The sequence below is a fragment of the Homo sapiens genome, chromosome 8 (genome assembly GCF_000001405.40).
Source record: "Homo sapiens chromosome 8, GRCh38.p14 Primary Assembly".
NCBI classification, from domain to species: Eukaryota; Metazoa; Chordata; class Mammalia; order Primates; family Hominidae; genus Homo; species Homo sapiens.
In genome coordinates, this window is record NC_000008.11 from 58,278,186 (window position 1) to 58,289,832 (window position 11,647).

Sequence of the window (11,647 nt, forward strand, 5' to 3'; positions counted from 1 at the left end):
TTGGGAATATGGCTCAACCTTTGGGCTGTGCATGCTTTCACAGTCTTGCTTCTTTACCCCTGAGGTTCTCAGGATGCATTCCAAGGTTTAACTTTGCACTTGAAGATGGGAGATAGAGATAAAGAAGGCAACTTTCCCAAGGTGACCCTGCAAGAACTGACCTCAGACCCATTTGGGGCTTCAAAAGAATGCTTGAGTCAAGCATGGTTAATGGTTTATTTTCCCATATGTAATTTTTCTTTTCACGTTGTACATGGTCTTGATAATAGACAATAAGCTATTGTTTTATTTGGCTAGAAAGGCTTTACTGTAAACATTTTTCCATGGAGCAATTTGAAACTGGAGTGGCTAACTGACCCATTTGTTATCATAAGGGATGGGGACATGACTCATAGCAGAGGAAACAGATCACTGTTGCTATCAGTTGATAATTAGTGTGGCAACACTAATTTTTTCATTATAGGTAAGTTTTCTCATTATAGGCAGAGCATCAACTTAAGCTCGGATCCCAGCTTCCATGTTCCTTATTCCCTCATAGCCAGACCTCCTTAAACTCCACTTGTAAACTTGGCCTTGCCTTGGACCATCACATTGACACAGCCTGGAGGCAGCCCCTGCCTGCATCTGGAGCTCCAGACATCCCCAGGGCAAGGACTTCTGGCTGTGCTTTGGGTAGCTTCCTCCCAGAGGCCCCAGGTGGCTGCTACCACCACATGGCCTGTCTGAGGGCAGGCAACTTGCTTCTCCTCTGTCCTTCTGCTCTCCTCCCCTACTGATTGCCACTAGTCTCTCCAAACTGATATTAATGTCATTTATTCAGCATGGATTGAGCACCTACAATGTGGGGGCAGATGTTAGTTGTGAGTATTCAGCAACAGGCAAATCAGAGCCCTGCCTTCATGAGGACTACAATCTGCCAGGGATGACTGATATTGGGCAGGTAATGACAAACACAACGACTGTCATAAAATGAGGGCCACAGGGTACAAAGAGAGCTCATCTAGACCTGGGAGCAGGGCTCAGCCGAAACCTTCTGACAAACTTTTAGCTGATACTATTCTCTGCAAACCCAGATTAGAATTTGCACACATGTAGCTGGATCCTTGTTTCCAACTTCTGTCTGTTCCTGTGTTCTCCTGTGAGGTCTGGCCTGTCCCTTCCCACTCCATGTAGCAAAAAATCACATACATTCTCATATCAGGATATGACAAAAATAATATCCCTTAAAAACACATTCCCCATTTGTAATATATTATCCATCTAAATTGAGAAACTTCTTTTCAGCTTTTTTTCTTTTAACTCACACCTTTCTAAGAACACGTATCTTTTATAATTTATTATGTTTTAGAAATGAGCAATGCATGAATATGTCATCCTAACAGCAAACTAGCACACAGGCTTATCCAAGCATAAAATAAGTTGTGAAAGAATATGTTTGGGAATATATTACTGGATGACTCTGTTAACTCCATTTTTAATATGTGGTTTGCCCATCTAAACTATGTTTCAGCACAAGTCCATTTGTGGGCTTCTGAGAGGCACTTGAGAATCACTGAGCCACTCTTTTCCCCCACTGAGCTCCCCATAGGCTGAGCTAACTGAAGAGAGTGTAAATTTCCAGAGGGTAGCAGTTTCCTGTGTGGCTTGGAAACATCTGTAGCTGTGTGCTAGTCATGTTAAGCCATGGGGAGGGGGTGTCCCTGCAAAGCCCAACATGCTTCTGCCAGGGAGAGAGGGGATCACCACGGGGTGGGTTTGGACAGGGGCAGGATGGGAGCAGAGGATGAGAGGAGAGTCTCATGCGACAATGTAAAACTATAGTTTTGGCTTCCAGCCAAAGACAAGAAGGAGCCTGATTATATTGCATATTTTAGGATCCTTTTCCTATTTCATTGAAATGAGGAGGCAAAAAGCTTCTCTTTGTCATAAGAAATCAATTTCCTAGCTTCCATTTCTGCTTAGTGCAATGTTTTTCTGTTATATCCTTTAAAATGCCATTTGTTCATGTGATTACAGAATGAATTCCAATCCATGCTTAATTCTTTAAAAATCATCTTTTGCATTTAAAGGCTATAAAAAAAGCATATGGATGAGCATATTAATCACAGCTACTATTTCCAGGGCCTGAGTGTAAAGAAGCATTTATGTTAATGGTGTATGTGTCTAAGCATACAAGTTTAGAAATATTCCCAATTACCAAATTCATTTCTTCTGCTGAAACAAGAATATAACTGAAAGAATAAATTATCCTAACAGCACACCCCCTTCAGGTTACCTCTCTGAGGTTAAATTTTTGCTGTTTGAATCAAAGGTTACAGATTATATATTGCCAATCACGACACTTAGGCTGTGATTGAATCAGCCAAAATGTTTAGCCACATTTTCTGGCTCTGCCTCTGAATTGATGTGGAAAGTTCCAAATGCATCAAATGAATCAAACCTTATAAAAGTGTTCCTCATTCACTTGCAGTAAAAGTTTTTGCAATCGGTTCCTTAGTTGAAAATTGGCACCAGTTATTCATGGCATACCATACATCACACACACAGGCCACCAAAGCACTGCATGCCGAATATTGTGCAGTGGTGGTAAATACAACAAATCATGTCAGCATTGGGCAGGGAGAGCTATTGCACATCCTTTAGTGGCCTAGGTCCTTGAAGAGTATTTTAGAGCCAAAGGAGGAGAAGTCTTGGGAATGATAAACTAGTCAGTGTCATGTATCAAACTCACATTAAACAGGATGAAACCACCTGTCTCAGATTTCTTATCTGCTATTTTTCCTCCCCTGTGGTAGGACAAACTCTTTCCATCACATGCAAAAGGGATTCTCAGATCAGTATACAGTTTCCAAAGATGAGGAAAGATTCCATTAACTGAATTACAATCATTGAAATAGGTGATTTTTAAAGCCAATTTTAAAAATGTTATGAACAACTAACATTTTTTTCTCGCCAGTTATAGTAATAGAAAAACACTAATTCCTTAGCATCTAGGGATGCCAGATCAAGATTATAGGAGCCTAAGAGTGGATCAGAACCTGTATATCTTTTTATGCTACCTCTGCTAGGTTTGAATTACAGGTGCAAAAATTAGAAAAGGCTTATGAGATGAAAAGAGTGGCCTGTGGCATACAAAGCTGATATCTTGCCACGTTACTACATATTTCTTCAATTTATTAGAATAAAATGTTAATGAGTACAGACACCCAAACACAGAATTCCAAATTGCTAATTGGGGATTTTTGCTGGCACTGTGCTTATTGTCAGATTCAGAGAAGGAAGATGAATTTAAAGTTTTAGAAATGTCACCCCTTAGGGAGTGATCAAACAGCACATCTGTGTCCCTGATGGATAGTAATCAGAAGAACAATACATGAAGCAGGTTCACTGTGCATCAATATCAGTCCCAGAAGAAGATGCTAAACACCTTGCCAATATCATATATCAGTATCAATCCACTTGCATGGGTCCAGTGAGACAGAAAACTCACACGTGTTAAGCAGAGCAACTTTATTACTTACAGAAAGTCAGCAAGGGACAATAGAAGCCTAGGATTTATGGCAAGCCAGTCCCCCAAGGCTCAGGAAGACTGCCCTGGGTGGATTGAGTCTCACTTTGTGTGTCTTTTTTTGGGGGCGGGGAGAGGGAATGGAGTTTTCGCTCTTGTTCTGGAGTGCAATGGCATGATCTTGGCTCACTGCAACCTCTGCCTCCTGGGTTCAAGTGATTCTCCTGCCTCAGCCTCCCAAGTAGCTGAGATTACAGGTGCCCGTCACCACTATGCTCAGCTAATTTTTTGTATTTTTAGTAGAGACAGGGTTTCACCATGTTGGCCAGGCTGGTCTTGAACTCCTGACCTCAGTGATCCACCCACCTTGGCCTCCCAAAGTGCTGGGATTACAGGCGTGAGCCACCACATCCGGCCACTGTGTGTGTCTTATGCTGCACTGCAGCTGAGGGACCCCAAAAGCATGATCTGATCTGGGTTTCATGTGCAGGAGCAACTGGACTTGCTGGACAAATAAGCACCGCAGGACAACATCCAGTTCTAAGGAATTGGAACGGAGCCTGTGTTGTTCTTCTTTATCTCAGGATGTGGCTGTCCCAGCACATTCTTGAGAGGTAAAAGTGACAAGAGGAGAAAGAGCTTAGTTGTCAAGGCCATTGAGGGGCTTATCCAGCACAGGAGTTATTACTTCCTCACCAAAAAACAAAACCAAGATTTGTCACTCAGCATTGACACCCTGGTAGGCAGGGATTCTGAACCTTGGCTAATGATCATCATCCTCAGCAACTTCATAGCCAACATTTACAAGCACCTACTGTTTGCTTTATCTGAATAAATTCCTGTAGCAACTGTATTTGCTTGGGTCCTCCGGAAAGCTGACTCACTATGGGGTGAAATCTGTGTGAGATTTATGGGAGAAAAGATTTGAGGGAAAATGGCGGGGGTAGCTGGGAGAGGTGGTAATGCAGGTCCAACTGCTGTGGACAAGATTGGGAAAAAAGGAAGGTTGGGTGGGAAAAGTCTTAGAATACACTGCAAATTTTTAAGAAAGCCTATCAGGAGTCCTCGAGTCAAGGTTGCCTATCATAGACACCCACATCACCCAAAAACAAGCTGCCTTATTATCCCTGCCATGCCCCATTACTGGCTGGGAGGAGCCTCGGGAAGCAGGGCCTTGGCATGGACACTGGGATGTGTCAGCACCACAGCTGGGCTGACCTTCAGTCCATGGCACCTCCTGCAGTCAGAGACTCAAGGGGGTGCTTTTCTATTTTATCAGTCTGGGTCCAATCAGGAGAGATAATCCATATGGGGAATTAAACAGGAGAAGTTCAATTTAAAAAACCATTAAACTCTAATAAAAAAGAGTGACTACAAGTTACAAAGACACTCTGCATGGTACCCCAGAGCTTAGGTAAAATACAAAAGGAAGGACAGACTCAAAAGGGCTGTGGGGTTCACACCTTGCTGCAGAAAGCACAGTTCAGTCCTTGAATAGTGGGAACAATTTGCTGGTTTGTCCTGACTAGGGCTGATATGCTGTGACCCAGCAAGCAGAAAGCAGCCCTCTGGAGCACAGGCAATTACGAGCAGTGTGGGTGTTCAGAGGGAAGGCTGTCTGTGATGGAGCCATGCACAGGCCTGCAGAAGGAATCAGGTGCAGTGTGGCAGGCGGCCTTCAGGGCACTGGTCTCCATATTGGTAGGGCATGGAAAGGCCACCAGGCCAGGCTGAGATTCTGGCCATGAGACTGAGGTGGAGCTGCATAGATTCCTCACCCTTACCCAACTGATGCACTGTGCAGCAGGGAACGTTTCCTCCTGCAGGATCCCTCCACATGCTCTCCTGAGGAAAGTGACCCTGGGCTCACTGTGAAGGAGAGATGTGGAAGAATGTCATTCATTGCAGCAGAGCGTGCCTGGAGCTTGGGGCTAATGAGCAATGCGTGGATAAATGGAACACGTGGTCACCTTGGGAACCCCATATGAGGTTAGTACTTGTGTTGTCCCTTTGTATAGAGGAGAAAACTGAGGCTTGGGGGAAGTAAATATTTAGCAAGCTGAGGAGCTGGAGTTCCAACCCTAAGTCTGTGATTCCAGAATTCATGTCTTACTCACCATGCTACATTAGTAAGATTCATCACAGAAGATGCCAGGATCCTTTCTAAATCTCCTGCTTATAATGATGAGCCTGGGATTTGTTAGCATACCATCAAAATAATTTTAATATTTTGTAGGCTTGAGAATGCATTTTTCCCTTATATTCTGTAATAGTTTGGCTCTGCCAAGTGTAGGACAGATTTTTAACCACATGCCAAGCAATAAACTTGCCTCAAATAAAAGGATCAAAGATGGCAAAGCAGTGGCAACTGTATCCATGAGGAACTATTACAGGCCCTGTGGTCATTTAGCCTCAGGGAGAAACTGAAAAGGAGTGATGATTCTGGTATTCAGCACGTAAAGATTTTCTCAACTGAGAGACTCAACAGCTTTTCTCCTTTTCCCCTAAGGGCTGAATGTGAGGAAATGAGCTCGCATTAAAACCAGATAGATTTCTGCTGCTTATAAGGAAGAACTTCTTAACCATTATGATGATGAAACACTAGAATAGGTTCCTTACAAAGTGTTAAAGTCTCCATTTCCAGAGATATTAAAACAGAATCAAAACTATCCATCATGATTGATTTGGACACTAATCTAGATGAAAATAGCAGCCTCCTAAGGTCCTTTACTGTCCCAGAATTCCAATATGCCTTAGTCATCTTTAATTCTTCCTTGCCAACAGAGGTAAATGGCTTCCAAGGACGATGAACACACAGGGAAGTTGTTAATGATAGTTCACATTTATTGAGTGCTCACATTCACCAAGTGCTTTATGCATATTGTCTCTCATCTTTGCAACACTACAAGGTAAGCACCATTATTTTTCATTTTTACAGGCAGTCAGGCATAGAGAAGTCAAGCACCTTATCAAAGATCACACAGCAAGTAAATAGTAGTCAGAATTCTAACCCAGAACTTTCTATATCCAATTCCATGTATTCTGATGAATAAACTATGGCTTTTAACTCTTCCAGTAGGCTACTGAGCAGTCCCCCTCAGATGCTTACCCTCCACCCCAAAAACTCTCCACGACACCCTCAAAATCTGCCAGGTCTAATTTGTACAATCAACTTAACACCACCTACCTGGAAAATTAGCCACAAATGGAGAGGAAAAGACAGATAAAGAGCATATACTATATTATATTCTGCTACCTGGGCTCCTGTGAAATAGCAAAGAATTGACTTAGTTCAGAAAACTAATCTGAGAGAAGAAATGAATGATACAGCCCTGGTGAAACATGTGAAAACTGGCCCCTGCTACTTTTGCAATGGGAAAGTGTGAAACCTGAACCACTGTAGTAGTGCTTGTAGAAACCAAGCCATCTGAAATACACAATCCCTGGTGTTTCTTTGAGGGATTGGTTTAAGTGTTTTGACAACTAGAGATTCCTTCTTATTCGCTTGCCATTAATCTTTTGCATCTGTGGTCACAGGACAAGAGAGCAAATCTGTTTTTCATGAATGCCTCATTTTGATAACACCCCCACCACCCCACCACATTCACCTCCGTGAGAGCATTAACCATTAACTAAGTGTGGTGGCTGGTACCTTTCCCATGAAACAGGGCTCACTGTGGTCTCCCCAGCCACACCAGCTGCCTGGAGCAGGATTCCTGTTGCTCCTTCTGTCCAGATGGCTTCAAGCTGGAAATTACTTACGAGAACCCAGGAAAACACTTGTTCTCCCCAACACTATTTATTTGCTTTGGAAGAGCTTTACAAAACACTCCTATATGCTCAACCAACAAAATATCACCTCTACCCTGCACCTCTTGCAATATTAAACAAACTGAGTGCTGAAGGGTTAAAACAAAGATGAATACAAGGCTTTCTGTGCCCTCAAAGAGTTCACAGAGTTGTACAGAAGATAAACATAAGAGCAACAACAATACGGTGTGGACCCTGATTAAAGTATCAGGGATTCTGTGTAAGCAGAAAAAAGGCACCCAGCCTCAGACATTGGAGCACACTCTCCAGGGACTGAGTTTTGAGCAGAGCTTTCAGCATTAGTCAACACAGACTGCCATAACCAAATACTGTAGACTGGGAAGCTTAAATGACAGACATTTGTTTTCTCATGGTCCTGGAGGCTGGAAGTCTGAGATCAGGGGGCCAGTATGGTTGGGTTCTAGTGAGGCCTCTCATCCTAGCTTGCATGTGGTCACCTTCTTGCTGTGTCCTCACATAGCTAGAAAGAGGTGGGGAGCAAACTCTCTGGTGTCTCTGCACATAAGGACACTAACCTATCAGATTAGGGCCCCTCCCTTATGACCTTATTTAACCTAATTACCTTCTAAAGGCCCCATCTCTGAATAGAGTCCCACTGGGAGTTAGGACTTTATCATATGCTTTTGTAGGGGACACAATCAGTCCATAACGCCTCCAGAATGATAGGATTGACCAGGTGGAAGGTAGTTAGAAAAGGGAGGGCATCCCTGGCAAACATACCAGTGTTCAAAGGCTTAGGCCACAGGTTCAGTGGTTTAGGCAGACACAGCACATCAGGGGAGCACAGAATGATCCAACGTGTTTACACAGAGGAGAATGTGGTGTAAGGTGGCCAGAAGGAAAAGCCTTGAATGCTTTCTAAGCACTATGCTCTTTATCATGTGGGCAGTCTGGATTTTTGCAGAACTTTTAAAAGAGTTGAACAGACTGCCATTTAGGAAAAAAACAACCAGTTGGTTCATATTTGAAGAATGAGTAGTAGGAGTCAAAGTAAATTGGATTAGGGATCCAAGCCATGGGCACTGCAACAGGAAAGGTCATAAGGGGGTTTGCCAAGGCAGTAGCCATGGATGTGAGGAAGAAGAAACAGGTGTGAGAGTTATTTAGGAGCCAGAATAGAAGGCATGTTGACTATGGAGGGTAGGAAGGCGAAGAGTAGAAGAGAACTCTAGCTCTCTAGATGGGTGCCTGGGTGATAGTTATGTTTCTATATTATCTACAGTTGAACTAGAGCTACATGCTTCACTTTTTGGTTGTTGCTTTTGTCCTATTCACTGACTACCCTTCAGCCCTTCCCATAAATCTCACTTAACACAGTGGTGGTTCTGGCATGTGAATGAAAGAATAAAGATACAAACTGTGATCATTATAAAAATTTGAGTTAATACTTAAGACGGGCAGGAGATGTGGTGAAAAAACAGTATCACAATTTGTTTTTTTTAATTATTATTATACTTTAAGCTTTAGGGTGCATGTGAACAACGTGCAGGTTTGTTACATATGTATACATGTGCCATGTTGGTGTGCTGCACCCATTAACTCGTCATTTAACATTAGGTAAATCTCCTAATGCTATCCCTTCACCCTGCCCCAACCCCACAACAGTCCCCAGAGTGTGATGTTCCCCTTCCTGTGTCCATGTGTTCTCATTGTTCAATTCCCACCTATGAGTGAGAACATGCGGTGTTTGGTTTTTTGTCCTTGCGATAGTTTGCTGAGAATGATGGTTTCCAGCTTCATCCATGTCCCTACAAAGGACATGAACTCATCATTTTTTATGGCTGCATAGTATTCCATGGTATATATGTGCCGCATTTTCTTAATCCAGTCTATCATTGTTGGACATTTGAGTTGGTTCCAAGTCTTTGCTATTGTGAATAGTGCCGCAATAAACATCTGTATGCATGTGTCTTTACAGCAGCATGATTTATAATCCGTTGGGTATATACCCAGTAATGGGATGGCTGGGTCAAATGGTATTTCTGGTTCTAGGTCCCTGAGGAATCACCACACTTATTTCCACACTGGTTGAACTAGTTTACAGTCCCACCAACAGTATAAAAGTGTTCCTATTTCTCCACATCCTCTCCAGCACCTGTTGTTTCCTGACTTTTTAATGATCGCCATTCTAACTGGTGTGAGATGGTATCTCATTGTGGTTTTGATTTGCATATCTCTGATGGCCAGTGATGACGAGCATTTTTTCATGTGTCTTTTGGGTGCATAAATGTCTTCTTTTGAGAAGTGTCTGTTCATATCCTTCTCCCACTTTTTGATGGGGTTGTTTGTTTTTTTCCTGTACATTTGTTTGTGTTCATTGTAGATTCTGGATATTAGCCCTTTGTCAGATGAGTAGATTGCAAGAATTTTTTTCCCATTCTGTAGGTTGCCTGTTCACTCTGATGGTAGTTTCTTTTGCTGTGCAGAAGCTCTTTAGTTTAATTAGCTCCCATTTGTCAATTTTGGCTTATGTTGCTATTGCTTTCGGTGTTTTAGACATGAAGTCCTTGCCCATGCCTATGTCCTGAATGGTAATGCCTAGGTTTTCATCTAGGGTTTTAATGGTTTTAGGTCTAACATTTAAGTCTTTAATCTATCTTGAATTAATTTTTGTATAAGGTGTAAGGAAGGATCCAGTTTCAGCTTTCTACATATGGCTAGCCAGTTTTCCCAGCACCATTTAGTAAATAGGGAATCCTTTCCCCATTTCTTGTTTTTCTCAGGTTTGTCAAAGATCAGATAGTTGTAGATTCACGGCATTATTTCTGAGGGCTCTGTTCTGTTCCATTGGTCTATATCTCTGTTTTGGTACCAGTGCCATGCTGTTTTGGTTACTGTAGCCTTGTGGTATAGTTAGAAGTCAGGTAGCGTGATGCCTCCAGCTTTGTTCTTTTGGCTTAGGATTGACTTGGCAATGTGGGCTCTTTTTTGGTTCCACATGAACTTTAAAGTAGTTTTTTCCAATTCTGTGAAGCAAGTCATTGGTAGCTTGATGGGGATGGCATTGAATCTATAAATTACCTTGGGCAGTATGGCCATTTTCATGATATTGATTCTTCCTACCCATGAGCATGGAAGGTTCTTCCATTTGTTTGTATCCTCTTTTATTTCCTTGAACAGTGGTTTGTAGTTCTCCTTGAAGAGGTCCTTCACATCCCTTGTAAGTTGGATTCCTAGGTGTTTTATTCTCTTTGAAGCAATTGTGAATGGCAGTTCACTCATGATTTGGCTCTCTGTTTGTCTGTTATTGGTGTATAAGAATGCTTGTGATTTTTGCACATTGATTTTGTATCCTGAGACTTTGCTGAAGTTGCCTGTCAGCTTAAGGAGATTTTGGGCTGAGACAATGGGGTTTTCTAGATATACAATCATGTCATCTGCAAACAGGGACAATTTGACTTTCTCTTTTCCTAATTGAATACCCTTTATTTCCTTCTCCTGCCTGATTGCCCTGGCCAGAACTTCCAACACTATGTTGAATAGGAGTAGTGAGAGAGGGCATCCCTGTCTTGTGCCAGTTTTCAAAGGGAATGCTTCCAGTTTTTGCCCATTCAGTATGATATTGGCTGTGGATTTGTCATAGATAGCTCTTATTATTTTGAGATATGTCCCATCAATACCTAATTTATTGAGAGTTTTTAAGCATGAAGGTTGTTGAATTTTGTCAAAGGCCTTTTCTGCATCTATTGAGATAATCATGTGGTTTTTGTCTTTGGTTCTGTTTATGTGCTGGATTACGTTTATTGATTTGCATATGTTGAAACAGCCTTGCATCCCAGGGATGAAGCGCACTTGATCATGGTGGATAAGCTTTTTGATGTGCTGCTGGATTCGGTTTGCCAGTATTGTATTGATTTTGCATCAATGTTCATCAAGGATATTGGTCTAAAATTCTCTTTCTTTGTTGTGTCTCTGCCAGGCTTTGGTATCAGGAAGATGCTGGCCTCATAAAATGAGTTAGGGAGGATTCCCTCTTTTTCTATTGATTGGAACAGTTTCAGAAGGAATGGTACCAGCTCCTCCTTGTACCTCTGGTAGAATTCAGCTGTGAATCCATCTGGTCCTGAACTTTTTTTGGTTGGTAAGCTATTAATTATTGTCTCAATTTCAGAGCCTGTTATTGGTCTATTCAGAGATTCAACTTCTTCCTGGTTTAGTCTTGGGAGGGTGTATGTGTCGAGGAATTTATCCATTTCTTCTAGATTTTCTAGTTTATTTGCATAGAGGTGTTACAGTATTCTCTGATGGTAGTTTGTATTTCTGTGGGATCGGTGGTGATATCCTCTTTATCATTTTTTATTGCGTCTA